This window comes from Homo sapiens, chromosome 22, assembly GCF_000001405.40.
Source record: "Homo sapiens chromosome 22, GRCh38.p14 Primary Assembly".
NCBI lineage: Eukaryota > Metazoa > Chordata > Mammalia > Primates > Hominidae > Homo > Homo sapiens.
Window position 1 is genome coordinate 26,618,348 of NC_000022.11, and position 14,879 is coordinate 26,633,226.

The window sequence follows — 14,879 nt, forward strand, 5'->3', positions numbered from 1 at the left end:
GAGACCAGAGTTTGAATCCTGACTCAGCCACTGCGCGCTGTGTGGCTTTTGGTAGGTCTCTACCCCTAGGGGGGCCTCTGTGTCTGCAATTATAAGGTGGGCACGTGTCCCTGTTGGATGCCATATAGAAAAGAAGGTGACAATGAGCACAGAAGCGTTTTGTAAAGGCAGATGTGGGTTTGATATGGACAGCCTTTTTTACGGAGTGCTTACTGTGTGCCGAACCCGTGTTATCTCGGTCAGTCCCCGGGACAATCTGCCTTATTTGGTACTTTCATTATGCCCATTTCACAGAAGAGGAAAGTGAAGGCACAGAGAGGTCAGAGCCAGCCCAGGCCAGCCAGCTCTGGGCCTGTGTGCTTTCTTCTCCTGCTGTCCAGCCTTGACCTTGGCCTGAGGCCCCCTGGCCTGACTTCCTCTTTGTAGGTTGGGGTGGGAATGGGAGAGTCGCACTGTGCTCAGCTGGGTTGGATATCGGAGACCTGGGTCTTTTTCTTTTCCCCACATTGGGCCCCATCCTTTCCTGACCTATCGACAGTGATCCCTCTCGCCACCCCAGTTCCCCGCCTCTACCCAGGCCACGTTATCTGACCTGGAGGACAGTGCTGGTGGCCAGAAATATGACTGCCTGTCCCAGAGCCTCCTGCCCTGGCAAGCCCCAGATGCCCACCACATCTTGTTCACCACTGGCCCCAGCACCTAGCTGGGCCTGGCTAGGTAGAGCTTGGCACATCATGGGTTCTCAGTCAATAACTGGTGACTCAATGGTGGTTCCAATGGATCGGAACAGAAGGTAGGGTACGGAGGAGATAGGGAAACCAAGGCAAGGAGAGAGAAGTAAGGAGGCAGATAGAAGTAACAGACAAAGAGAGAGGTGGAGACAGAGACACAGAGAGGCACAGGGGACATGGACAGTGAAGGAGCGAGAGACGGAGAGACAGAGGTCAAGTTGGGGTGATCAAGCCTCAGGACGGAGGAACAGACGCCAGAAATCACAGGGCCCAATCCTCCCATTTCACAAATGGAGAAACCGAGGCCCAGGTGGAACAAATGACTTCAACATAGTCACATGGCGGGAACTCACAGTACAGCTGGGGTCAGAAGGAGCCTGGGGAGCTGCTCAGCTAGGTCACCTGCAGTCGGCTCCCCAGTCCCAGGCAGGGTATATTGCGGGGGCATCTGGATAGGCTCCTGTCTCTTCTTTTTCGGGGTTCTAGGCTCCCCGTGGAGCCCAGCTCTGTCTTGAACTCTCCCTGGCCTGGAGCCAGCTTTGCCTCTGTCCCTCCACCACCCAGCACCCCCTCGCTTCCTAGCCTCTCCTTGGCCTTTCATCCTGGGCCAAGACTTGGTGGGTGGGGTGTGGGCAGGAACTGCAAGATGGGGTAGCCACTGGAACTGGGGCCAAGACGCCTGTGGTGAGGGCCCACCCACCAGTCTAGGCTTCAAAGCCAGGTCATCTGGGGCAGTTCCGTGCCCCCCCTAAAGCCCCAGGAATGGGCTGTCTGCCAGAGGGTGGGGGCAGAGAAGGGGGATGGCCCACCATGTTGGTGGCTCCACTCTGAGCATTTATTATTATTATTGTATCCTTCATTATATCTTTTTCTTTTTTGCCCTGTCTTATGGAGCCAATTTATTTTCTTTTCTTTTTTTCTTTTCTTTTTTTTTTTTTGCATTGTCCTGTACTCCTCAGTATAAGGATGAAGTCTCTGGGATTAACCCCAATTACGGATAAGGAAACTGAAGCAACTCCCTTTCCTTCCTCTCTCTCAGCCACTTTCTCATAAAAATGGAAATGTAAGATAAAATTGGAACTCACATCTTCTTTACTCATGAACCCAGGCTCTTAAAAACTATGCACCCCTGCTTTTTGATCAACAATTAATAATAATCATCTTTCTTATTAGCAATGGTGATGATGAAGATGATGGAAATACCACAATATTTTTTATGTTGCAGGAGCAATTCCAGCTGCTGTTCATGTGCTATTCACATTTATCCTCACAATCCCCCTGTTTCTTAGACTAATCCCAACTTACCTTGTTACACCCATTTTACACACAAGTAAACTGAGGCTCAGAGTGCGTAAGTAACATGCTTAAAAGTTACCCAGCCAGCACCAGTGGGATGCAAACCCAGGCAGTCTGGCTGTAGAGGGTGCATTGTTAACCTTTCATTTTCATGCCAACCCTTCATCAAAGTCATGCATTCCTTTTTTTTTTTTTTTTTTTTTTTTTTGAGACGGGGTCTTGCTCTGTCACCCAGGGTCAAGAGAAATGGCATGATCTTGGCTCACTGAAACCCCTGCCTCCAGGTTCAAGCAATTCTCCTGCCTCAGCCTCCCTAGTAGCTGGGATTACAGGCGCCCGCGCTACTCCCGGCTAATTTTTGTGTTTTTAGTAGAGACGGGGTTTCACCATGTTGGCCAGCCTGGTCTTGAACTCCTGACCTCAGGTGATCCACCCACCTCGGCCTCCCAAAGTGCTGAGATTACAGGCGTGAGCCATTGCGCCCAGCCTAAAGTCATGCGTTTGATAGAGCTGCATTTCACCCTCTTAAAAGGAAACTGGTGTGGCCACTTTACAGGTCATGAGCAGGACTCAGGTGTCCTCCAGGTCACACGGATGGTAAGAAAGAAGCAGGGCTGGATTTCATCTCAGATGATCTGGTTTCCAGTCATGCTGTTTTCCTATGCTTGTTACACCCATTTTACACACAAGTATGTATGTATGAGGGACCTCTTAGGTCCCTCATACGCCAATTCAGAGGGCAGGGTTTCGGGACAAGAGGCACACAGCAAATTGTACAAGTCCTGGATATTTGGCAAGTGTGCCACAGTTTGCAAAGCATGTTTGCAACTAACAGCTCCTCTATGCTGCCCACAGTGCCATCCGGATTCATCTTCAGGCTTTGTGGACCCAGCAGGCCCTGGCCTAGCCCTCTTCTCCTGCCTCACTTCCCTTCAGGTCCCCTGAGCTCCAGGCCAATTGGGCTACCAGCTCTTTCTTGTACATGTGCCCCAAGTTCCCACCTCTGAACTTTTTCTTAGAATGCCTCTCCTTCCATCTCACTCTGTACATATCTTCCTCATCCTTCAGAGTCTAGTTCAAATGCCTCCTCTAACGGCAAGCCTATCTGGATTGCTTCAACTGGAAGAGAAAGGGGAAAGAGAGAAGGAAAGGAATAGGCATTTCCTGAATGTTTACTCTGTACCAGGCATGTTATGTAACCTCACAACAACTCTGTGATATGGTTTGTTTCTGCCCCATTTTATAGGCAGAAATTGAGGGGAAATGACTCGCTGGAGCTCACATAGCTAGGAAGGATGCTTCTGGACTCCTCATCTAGTGCTCATTCTCCTGCTCTAGTCAGGAACCTTGTGGGGCTGATGAGGGCCAATATTCCACCTCTCTCCTTCTTCGTGGCTGATCCCTGGGGGTGGTGATCTGGTCCTTTCCCTCCCTGCTAAAGCCAGAGCTGCTGACGGCTTGCCATTGGCTCTTCAGCCAGGGCTGGCTTTTGTTTCTGTGGCCCAGTTGCTGAGTCGGGGCTTTGTCTCCCAGGGGCCCCTCTTCCCTCCCTGCCTATAAGAGCCCGACCTCGGCTGGTCTCAGATCTGACATGTTCCCTGGGCCTATCTCGGTAAGTCCCAGGTTTGGAGGAGGGGTGGGATCAGAGTTCTGAGTGAGCATTCTGGGAGGCGAGGAACCCAGGTCCCCAGTCCTAGGGATGTCACTGTGTCATCCTGAATGCCATCCTCATCCTAACCAAGGATGAGCCCCAACCATCAAGACCAGCACCTGCTTCCCTCATTTAAAAACAAATTATTCCTGTAGCCCTATTGCCTAAATTTCCACCATCAGAGCTACCTCTTTGAGCTAGGTGCTGTCTTTGGAAGGGCTCTCTTATGCTGAGCATTTCAGCACTCGCTGGGGTGATGCACCCACCCACCAGCAGCCACAAAAATTTTCCCATAACAAGCAGATAAGAGAATACAGAGTGGGGCTCAGAGTCAATGAGACCCAGCAAGGGTGAGTTTTGAGATGGGGATAGGATGGAAGATGGCATTGGTGACAGATGGAAAGGACAGGAGAGGGACAGGCCAAAGCCATGCATTGCCCCTAGCCCAGTCACTCCTGGACTCCCTATGTGGATCCTGACCAGGTCCAAGCCAGCCATCTGCATAAAGAGGAGAGCAGAGGGTCAGGGTGGAAGATTATAATGTTCTTCTCTTCTGCAGGAAGGGGCCACAATGACCCTGCAATGCACAAAGTCAGCGGGACCCTGGAAGGTAGGAAGAGGCATGGGGAGGGGGTGTTCAGGGGGTATGGGGAGGGTTCAGGTCCCCATGAATCCTAGGAGGGGGGCATTATAAATGCCTATTTCACAGAGGTGCAATCAAGGCTCAGAGTTGAGAAGGGACTTGTATGTCACATACAGGGAGGTTGAATGTGAATTTGGGTCTTCTGGTTCCCAAAGTTGACCTGTTACACTCTTTGGCAGAGGTTGCAGTCTTTGGGCATGATTTCTTTGACCATCTCTGTGTGTGTTTGTTTGTTTTATAAAGCTTTTGGATTTATCATCAGCCTTTAAAAGCCTGGAAGAACCACATAAAAGTCCAGATCTAGTGATTGTCTTGAGAAATTGGAAGGTCTGGCCTGCATTCCCACTTGGCAACCATTGGTGGCACTGGGAAGAGGCCACCCATTTACCTGGCACCTGTGCTGTCTAGTGTCTCACATTTATCACTGCTCTTGCCTTCCTGGCTCCTGGAGGAATCTGAGTTTGCAATCCCTGCTTTACCTGCCAGATCCTGGGGCGAGCCCCCAACCTCTCACCCTTCACGGGACTCTGATGCGGATCTCCACCTTTTTTTTTTCCTGGCACAGATGGTGGTGTGGGATGAGGACGGCTTCCAGGGCCGGCGGCACGAGTTCACGGCCGAGTGCCCCAGCGTGCTGGAGCTTGGCTTCGAGACTGTGCGATCTTTGAAAGTGCTGAGTGGAGCGTGAGTCTAGGGGGACACTGAGTTGGGGTAGAGGGTGGACAGGAAGGGACCTAGAGACGGGTGCTAGGACTTTTAGATATTCTAGGTCCCCTCTCCCTAGGCTCTTACTGTTGTGCCCTCCTGAAGTACTGAGGAGTGTGCAGGACTGCCATGTAAGATTATGCAGGTTGCGCACTGCCCAACAGTAGGAGGGTGCCATTTACACAGACCCTGCCCACTGGATGAGGCAGTTCTGCAGGAGATCCTTAGAATCCAGTGTTGGATCTAAAAATGTCCCTCCCAGCCGTAAATTGAAAGCCAACATCACCCGCCTAAAGTAGAAGGTAACTGTAAAAATAAACATAATGTTTTAATGCTATTAATTTTTAGCTAAATAGTCTTGCTGCTAAGCATGTGGCCTGATCATTTTTTGTAAAAAAAAAAAAAATTAAAAAACAAAAAAGAGAGTGAGAGAGAGAGATTAGTGAGACACAGAGAGGTGTTAAGGACACACTAATAACACACCAAGACTTTCTAGACCAGTGTCATTCAGTGGACCTGTCTGCAATGATGGAGATGTTCTACATCTACACCATCCATTTCAGAGCCACTGGCCAGATGTGACCATTGAGGATTTGAAAGGTAGCCAGCATGAGTAGAGAACTGAATCTTGTTTAATCTTAATTTATTTAAGTTTAAATTTAATTAGCTACATATGGCCAGTGGCTACCATATTAGATAGAAGGTTCTAGAAGGTTGGAAAGCAGGTAGAAAGGAGATGTGGCCAGTAGCTACCATATTGGATAGAAGGCTCTAGAAGTTTGGAAAGTAGTTGGAAAGATGTGGCCAGTAGCTACCATATTGGATAGAAGTTTCTAGAAGGCAGGAAAGTAAATAGAAAGGAGGTGTGGCCAGTAGCTACCATACTGGATAAAAGTTCTAGAAGTTTGGAAAGTAGATCGAAAGGAGATGTGGCCAGTAGCTTCCATATTGGATAGAAGGTTCTAGAAGGTTGGAAAGTAGCTAGAAAGGCAATGTGGCCAGTAGCTACCATATTGGATAGAAGGTTCTAGAAAGTTGGAAAGTAGATAGACAGGAGATGTGGCCAGTAGCTACCATATTGGATAGAAGGTTGTAGAAGTTTGGAAAGTAGATAGGAGATTTGGAGTCACTTAATGCTACACCTGTGAGTGCCACCTGAGGTCATCTTGGGTGATTTTTGCACATCTCATGCTTTAGTAAATACTCTTTTAGCTTCTGATTTGTGCAGGTGGGGAATGGGGGTCAGATGGGAACAGAGGCTTTCTAGGGGTATGTCCAGCAGGCTGACAGACTCAGCCAGTAAGCAGACAATGAGCTTGGATAGATTCAGACAGTTTATTACTTATACAGACAGTAAAGGCAAGGTGCAGCCTCCTGTGTCCCTTGTCCTACTGGACGACACCAAAACAAAGGGGGCTGAATGACAGGCATTAGGAATGGTAGGAACCCCGTGGCTGAAGAGCTGCTTCCATGCTTCAACGATAGCTTGCTGCTGTCGCCTGTGGGGAGGCGAGGTGGAAAGCCCCACATCTCAGAGTGGCCAGAGAGGCAGATGAGGGGCTGCCTCGTGGCAGCCTCCCACAAGAGAGGGAGGAAAATGAGAGATGGCCATGCGGTCGCTCCTTGCAAGACTGCCCGTCTCCCACACCCTGGCAGGATCACGGGGAATTCCACCAAGGTGAGATCAGTCTGTGATCAGCTTTGCCTCCTTGGCCTCTGTGGACACGGACGGAGGAGCAAGGTTGTCAGGGCACCTGTGTGAAGCAGTTTCCCTACCTATGGGACACACAGCAAGTGAGGTCTAGAGCTGGGTTCCTCAACTCTGGCGCTACTGATGTTTCGGGCTGGATCATCCTTTGCAGGGAAGGCTGGCCTGTGCATTATGGGATGTTTAGTGGTATCCCTGGCCTCTACCCGATAGATGGCCTTCGCAGTCCCTCCCCTAGTCGTGACAACCAAAAATGTCTCCAGCCATCGTCAAGTGTTTCCTGGGGGCACAGTCACCCCTGAATGGTTGTGACTGTGACCGTTCTAGACCCAATTGCTGGTCTAGAATGCAGGGTGAGGGGGACGCTTACCTCCTGCACACTCTACCCTCTGTCTGCAGGTGGGTGGGCTTTGAGCATGCTGGCTTCCAAGGGCAGCAGTACATTCTGGAACGAGGCGAATATCCAAGCTGGGATGCCTGGGGCGGCAACACGGCCTACCCCGCCGAGAGGCTCACCTCCTTCCGGCCTGCGGCCTGTGCTGTAAGTTCTACCACTGCTGCATCCCGGGGAGGCCCAAGCCCCTCATGTGGGCACTTCGGAATCAAAGGTTCCAGAGTTGAAATTCTCATGTCGCCACTTCAAGCTGTGTGACAAGGGCTGTTCAGTCTCTTTCCTCTCCAAGCCTCGGTTTCTTCATCTTGAAATGGGGCAATAGTACCAATGTTCTTGGGAAGAAGAACGTATAACATCTGACCAGAGCCTGCCTTAAACTCTCTGCTCACAGCAACCCTGGTTGTGATAGGAGCCCCTGCCAGTTTTGTGCCCTTTTTTTTTTGTGATTCAGGGACCCTGAGAGAATCTGGGTACCAGGGATGGTAGGGCCAAGTGGAGAGGAAAGGTTTCATTTCTTGCTCCTAATTCAGCATCAGTGCTCCTGATCTTACATTTTACTGCTGTTTTTGGAGTGTGGGTGGAGGTGGGCATTATTATTCCCATCTCACCAATGAAAACATTGAGGCTCAGAAAGGTGTATTTTAGGCTGGGCATGGTGGCTCACACCTGTAATCCCAGCACTTTGGGAGGCCAAGGCGGGTAGATCACTTGAGGCCAGGAGTTCAAGATCAGCTTGGCCAACATGGTGAAACCCTGTCTCTACTGAAAATACAAAAAAATTAGTTGAGTGTGGTGGCACATGCCTGTAGTCCCAGCTACTCAGGAGGCTGAGGCAGGAGAATCACTTGAACCCGGGAGACAGAGGTTGCAGTGAGCCAAGATCGCACCACTGCATTCCAGCCTGGGCGCCAGAGCAAGACTCTGTCTCAAAACAAAACAAAACAAAAAAACAAAAACAAACAAACAAACACAAAAACAACAAAGTGTGTTTTATTTTTCAATTCTTATTGATTTAAAATGACATAAGTCACCATATTTACCATCCAAAATTCTGAAGGAAAATCCTGCTATGGTCAGGGTTGAGTATCCCTTACCTGAAATGCTTGGGACCAGAAGTGTTTTGGATTTTGAATATTTTCCCCAGATTTTGCAATATTTGTAATACTTACAGTTGAGCAGCCTGAATCCAAAAATCCAAAATCTGAAATACTGCAGTGAGCATTCTTTGAGTGTCATGTCGTCACTCAAAAAGTTTTAGATTTTGGAGCATTTTGGATTTCGGATTTTTAGGTTAGGGATGTTCAACCTATACATTTGTGTCTCTATGTATATACACATCCAAATCAACATCTACATCTATATCTGTATAATCTATATATCTTATCTATATTGCACACATAATTTTGTCATAAAATTGGAATCATAATGAATCTAAGGCTTGGAAACTAGCTTTTCTCACTGAGCAAATGTGTCGCAATCATCAGTCCAGGTGATTAAATCTCACTTCCATCGTTTTTCATAGCTCCCTAGTATTCTGTTTTGTGAATAAGTCCATTTGTTCATTTATTCTGCAAACAGTCTAGATATTGTGCTAATATAGGGACCCGTGGCGGGCTGCAACAGAAACAATCCCTCATTCCCAGCAGTTTGCAACTCCTGATTTCATTTAGTCCTCAAAAGAACCCTGAAAAATGGGTAGGGTTAGTTTCATTTTATAGATACAGGAACAGAGGCTCAGAAATCCTGTCTAACCTCAGTCAGTTGGTAAGTGGCAGCTGCCTCCTAGCAGGAAGGATTTGAGATGATATCTCTACACCTCCTTTCTTTCCTTCTTTTTTCTTTTCTTTTCTTTTCCTTTCCCCTCCCTCCCTCCCTCCCTCCCTCCTTTCTTTCTTTCTTTCTTTCTTTCTTTCTTTCTTTCTTTCTTTCTTTCTTTCTTTCTTTCTTTCTTTTTCTTTCTTTCTTTCTTTCCTTCTTTCTTTTTCTTTCTTTCTTTCTTTCTCTTTCTTTCCTTTTCTTTCTTTCTTTCTTTCTTTCTTTCTTTCTTTCTCTTTCTTTCCTTTTCTTTCTTTCTTTCCTTCTTTCATTCTCTGTCTTTCTTTTTCTTTCTTTTTCTCTTTCTTTCTTTCTCTTTCTCTCTCTCTCCTTCCTTCCTTCCTTCTCTCTCTCTCTTTCTTTCTTTCTTTCTTTTGATGGAGTTTTTGCTTTTGTTGTCCAGGCTGGAGTGCAATGCCACAATCTCGGCTCACTGCAACCTCTGCCTCCCAGGTTCAAGCGATTCTCCTGCCTCAGTCTCCCAAGTAGCTGAGATTACAGGCATGTGCCACCACGCTTGGCTAATTTTTTGTATTTAGTAGAGACAGGGTTTCACCATGTTCGTCGGGCTGGTCTTGAACTCCTGACCTCAGGTGATCCACCCTCCTCGGCCTCCCAAAATGCTGGGATTATAGGCGTGAGCCACCGCGCCGGGCCTCTACACCCTTTTTCTTAACCACAGTGTAATGCCTCAGCTTACCACTGGATCCCCAATTTTGGACATAAAAGTTGACTCCTTTTTTTGTTTGTTTGTTTTTGAAAAAACTGTTATGATGAACATTCTTGCAGCCTATTTATTCCATGATTATTTTCTTTGTGGAAATTTCTGGAAGGGCAAATGGCAAGGTTTCTGGTACCTGTTGCCTTATTGCCCTTCCAAAAGGTTTGCAAGGAAGGCTGATTTGGGAGACAAGGGCAGGGAGTGTGGAGGCCAGGAGAGGCTCCTGGGTTTCCAACTGGGAGCCTGCTGGTCTGACTGTGTTCCCTGTTCCTGTAGAACCACCGTGACTCGAGGCTGACAATCTTCGAGCAAGAGAACTTCCTGGGCAAGAAAGGAGAGCTGAGCGATGACTATCCTTCCCTCCAGGCCATGGGATGGGAAGGCAATGAAGTAGGGTCCTTCCACGTCCACTCTGGGGCGTAAGTGTATTCAAGGCTCTACCTGGCAGGGGAGGGGCTACTGGGAGGGGTAGGTGTACCTCCTGTGAAAACTGTGTGCTGGGGACTTTTGTGCTCTGATGCCCACATTCCAGAGGAGAACACTGAGGCACAGGGAGGTATCAGGCAGAATTTGAGGGACTGAAACCCAGATCAAACTGGTTTGAGCCCAGAAGATATTTATCAGCCCCTGTAATTAGCTTCAAGCATAGCTGGATCCAGGTACTACAGCAGGTATCTCTCTCCCCCCACAACCCCCAACCTGTTGCCCTGCCTGCCTCTGTGTGACTATATTCTTAGACAAGCTCTTCCTGTGTGAAGGCAAAGGTGGCGGCTTCATCGTTACATCCAGCCCTAGGGAAAGACAGTGTCCAGGCTCAGTGATTCTATTAAAGGTTCCAAGAAAGGTGCTCATTGGTCCAGCTGGGTCCTGTGCTCAACTCTGAACCAATCATCATGCCCATAGGAATGGGGTGTTCTGATTGGCTAGGTTTGGTCATGTGGTCCATTGCTAGATTCAGCCTCATTTTCTCACCTTGGCTGAGAGTGAGAGGCCACAGGCTCTTTGGCTAGAAGAGGGGAGAATGAATGCCCCTAGCCATAAAACACAGGTGTGGCTCCAGCAACCTGCTCAAAGTCCATCAGCAGGTAGGTAACAATCCAGCTTCAAACTCAGCACTGACTGGCCCTTTCCTTTCCACCCAGGAGGTGGCAGGTGAAGGCTAAGGTGTGAGATTCTTATTTAGGGAGGACATCAGAACCACTTTCTGAGGTGCCCCTTGGCTCCTGGTAGGCAGGGGGCAAAGATGGGAGGTAGGGTTTTTCATCTTTTTTTTTTTTCTTTTTTTGGCTTTAGTTTTCTCAGGAACCACCAAAGAATCATGTTGTTTTAGAGTAAGAGGGACCCCTTGTGATTCTTGAGTTCACTTCCTCTTTTACAGAAAGGGAAATGGAGGCTTGGAAAACCAGACACCAATCCTTGTCCTGAACAGAGTAGAAATCAATGAGTTGGGCCAGACACGGTGGCTCACGCCTGTAATCCCAGCCCTTTGGGAGGCTGAGGTGGGCGGATCACCTGAGGTCAGGAGTTCGAGACCAGCCTGGCCAACATGGTGAAAGCCCGTCTCTACTAAAAATACAAAAAATTAGCTGGGTGTCGTGGCTATGCCTCTAGTCCCAGCCACTCGGATGAGGCAGAATTACTTGAACCCAGGAGGCAGAGGTTGCAGTGAGCCGAGGTCATGCCACGGCACTCCAGTCTGGGCAACAGAGTGAGACTCTGTCTCAAAAAAAAAAAAAAAAAAAAAATCAATGAATTGAAATGATAGCTTTTTTTCTTGGAAGTGCCTCTGGATAAGGAAGGAGGGAGAAAGGGGAAAGAACAAGACTTCCCATTCCTTCACTTGTTCACTTATTCAGCAAATATTTAGGAACCCCTTCTTCCTTGCTAGACTTTTATATATTTATGCAGGTGGTGATAACGATGAACAAAACATACACGTTCCTACACTCAGGAGCTTGCCTGCTGGCAGGGGAGGCTGATATTTTACAAATAATTTGAAAACTATCGAATTACATGAGTGCTACAAAGGTATAATAAGGGACTGTGGCCTGATTTGGGGAACGAGTCAGATTGCCCTCATAATTAAGATGAGCCATGAAGGACAAATACAACTTGTCTAGGAAAAGAAAGGCTGGGATGGTGCTTCTGGCAAAGGGAATGGCATGATCAAAGGCCCTGTGGTAGGGGAGAGAGCATGGCACATTGTGAGCACTGAAGAAAGGCCAGGATGGCTGGAATTGTGTGCGTGTGCATAGATCCCTTTGCCCCTGTGTTGATCACCATGCTGGTGTCTCTGTAGAGTAACTGTCTGCCTTTTCTCTTTTCCAGCTGGGTTTGCTCCCAGTTTCCGGGCTACCGAGGATTTCAGTATGTGCTGGAATGCGATCACCATTCCGGTGACTACAAACATTTCCGGGAGTGGGGCTCTCATGCCCCGACCTTCCAGGTGCAGAGCATCCGCAGGATCCAGCAGTGAACAGGGGTGCGGCACGGAGGAGCGCATGCGTGCTTATCTGCAATGGAGGCGCTCTGGAGGCTGTGGTGTGTTCTCTCCTTCTGCCTCCCCCTGTAACCTGTGTGAACCCAGCACCCATGTGAACTGGTCCGTGCACAGTCAGCACAAAAAACTCAAACGAATAAAAAAGAGAAAGTCTGGTATTAGTTGTGCTTTTCAATTTTATTAATCTTTTCAAAGAACCGGTTTTTAGCCTTGTTTTCTCTATCATTATTCCACTGATTTTTACTCTTAACTTCAGTATTTCCTTTCTTCTATTTACTTCAGGCCTACTTTGTTCTTAGTTTTTCTAGCTTTTTTTTAAGGCAGACTTCTGGGTCATTAATTTTAGGCCTCTCTTTCCCCCACCCAGTACGGTCATTTAGCTATAAATTTCCCTCCAAGTATGGCTTTAGCTGCTTCCCACAAATATTAATTTGATGTGTTTTCATTGTCATTCAGTTTGATATTTTCTAGTTTCACTTGTGGTTTTTTTTTTTTCTTTTGACCTATGGGCTATTTAAAGGGATGTTATTTAAATTCCAAATACTTTAGGATTTTCTAGGTGTTTATTGTTATTGGTGTGTTTTTAAAGACCAATGTGGTCGGAGAACATATTCCTTAAGATTTAAGTCTTCTGCAATGAATTAAGACTTATTTTATGGCCCAGCACATGGTTTTTGTATTTTAATTTTATTTTTTGTTTGTTTGTTTGTTTTGTTTTTAATGAGTCAAGGTTTCACTCGTCACCCAGGCTGGAGTGCAGTGGTGCAATCTTGTCTCACTGCAGCCTCGACCTCCCAGGTTCAAGCAATTCTGCCTTAGCCCCACAAGCAGCTGAGATTACAGGTGTGTGCCACCACACCTGGTAATTTTTGTATTTGGTAGTGACAGCGTTCGCCATGTTGCCCAAGCTTGTCTTGAACTCCTGAGCTCAGGACATCTGCCTGCCTCAGCCTACCAAAGTGCCAGGATTACAGGCCTGAGCCACTGCTCCTGGCCACATGGTCTATCTTTGAAAGGCTTGGTAGTACACTTGAAAACTATTTATATTCTGCAGTTATTGGGTACAGTGTTCTGTAAATGTCAGATCAAATTTGTTAACAGTGTTGATGCGATTTTTCTATACCCTTGCTGATTTTTTTTTTTTTTTTTGAGACAGGATCTCATTCTGTCACCCAGGCAGGAGTATAATGGCACAATCATAGTTCACCGCAGCTTGTTTTTAAAAAATCAATTTTAGTGAATTACATAGAAAGAATCATTGATTATTTGGATTTATCTGTTTCTTACCTTAGTTTTGTCTATTTTTGCTTCCTGATTTTTTTTTTCCTTCAGGAATTGTGATGCTCTGTTGTTAGGTGTACATATATTTATGATTGCTATGTCTTCTTGATAAATTGTTCCTAGCTTGTGGTTTTCAAAGCCACGCATGGAGAGTCAGTTCTCTCCCCTAGCAAAACTTCTTTTCACGCGCGTCCGTGTGAAGAGACCACCAAACAGGCTTTGTGTGAGCAATATGGCTGTTTATTTCACCTGGGTGCAGGCGGGCTGAGTCCAAAAAGAGAGTCAGCGAAGGGAGATAGGGGTGGGGCCATTTTATAGGATTTGGGAAGGTAATGGAAAATTACAGTCAAAGGGGGTTGTTCTCTGGTGGGCAGGGGTGGATCTCACAAAGTACTTTCTCAAGGGTGGGGAGAATTACAAAGAACCTTCTTAAGGGTGGGGGAGACTACAAAGTACCTTCTTAAGGGTGGGGGAGATTACAAAGTACATTGATCAGTTAGGGTGGGGCAGGAACAAATCACAATGGTGGAATGTCATCAGTTAAGGCTGTTTTTACTTCTTTTGTGGATCTTCAGTTACTTCAGGCCATCTGGATGTATACGTGCAAGTCACAGGGGATGCGATGGCTTGGGCTCAGAGGCCTGACACTTCTCATACCTTTTTTCTCTCTTCCCAATTCTCTCTCTCACACACACTACCCTGGAGTTTCTCATTTAACACCCTCCATGCTCCAAAGAAAGCCTATAAAACAAAGAAACCCCTGTTTCACTTGAAGACTAAGTGGCAGGATTGGTCTCTTCTATCTCTCTTTTTCTCCTCCCCTCCTTACTTTCTCCTGGTTCTGCATTTTATAGGTTGTCTAAACCTCTCTCATGAGCCCTCTAGCTCTTGTTTCAGGCTCTCTTGGCCCATCTTCCTCTGCCCACAAATGTCCCTGATCAGTCTGATAGGGACAGGAAGGGGTGGGGACCAGAACATTCTGCTGGAAAAGATAACATTATCTGGCTCAGGAAGGGGAGGGGAATGTTTAGGAACATTTGCGCCTCAGTAAATTTTAACTCCTCATTGTATCGTACCATTTATTCAACAGATCATTTGCCTGGGACATACAATGGTAAACATGACACCTAAAGTTTTTTCTCTCACTCAGTTTAATGGGGAATGAATGCGGAAAAGTACAGAGCTGTTTGCAAATATTCTATGATAGGGGCTGTGGGGGCGGGAAGCATGGGGTTGGGGGGCGGACCCTTCTTGTGCCTACCTCTACTCAGACCGTCCCAGAACATCTGACCACTGCTTGACACCTTGATGTGAACGTCTAATACACATCTCAAACAAAACCGGACCAAACATAACTGAAGCTACACTTTTCAAGTTGTTCAGGCTAAATGTCTGGAATGATCCATAACCCTTCTCTTTCTCTCACACCTCACA

The 14,879-nt window shown here is 47.2% G+C and overlaps 1 protein-coding gene across 2 annotated transcripts in view, besides 2 other annotated features; it reads left to right on the forward strand.

The window, feature by feature from the left end:
- The window catches only part of CRYBA4 (crystallin beta A4), a 40,450-nt gene extending 28,128 nt beyond the window's left edge, over nt 1–12,322 (forward strand). The window contains exons 1-6 of one of the 2 annotated variants that reach the window (NM_001886.3): nt 3,616–3,639; nt 4,238–4,288; nt 4,887–5,005; nt 7,134–7,275; nt 9,941–10,083; nt 11,993–12,322. In NM_001886.3, the coding sequence (NP_001877.1) occupies nt 4,250–4,288; nt 4,887–5,005; nt 7,134–7,275; nt 9,941–10,083; nt 11,993–12,140 (591 nt within the window). In that variant the 5' untranslated portion in view covers nt 3,616–3,639; nt 4,238–4,249 and the 3' untranslated portion in view covers nt 12,141–12,322. Of the gene's footprint in view, nt 1–3,615; nt 3,640–4,237; nt 4,289–4,886; nt 5,006–7,133; nt 7,276–9,940; nt 10,084–11,992 lie in introns of those variants that run through there. The other variant, XM_006724140.4, reaches the window with a different exon arrangement.
- Nucleotides 90–765: an enhancer, noted in NCBI's record as "H3K27ac-H3K4me1 hESC enhancer chr22:27014401-27015076 (GRCh37/hg19 assembly coordinates)". NCBI's record gives its function as "activates a minimal SCP1, AML or CMV promoter by ChIP-STARR-seq in primed H9 embryonic stem cells {active_cell/tissue: H9 hESC(primed)}" and the evidence as "EXISTENCE:reporter gene assay evidence [ECO:0000049][PMID:30033119]".
- Nucleotides 14,129–14,879: a transcriptional cis regulatory region, noted in NCBI's record as "candidate enhancer chr22.1058 targeted for multiplex CRISPR interference". NCBI's record gives its function as "positively regulates TPST2 gene expression with high confidence in K562 cells {active_cell/tissue: K562}" and the evidence as "EXISTENCE:mutant phenotype evidence [ECO:0000015][PMID:30612741]".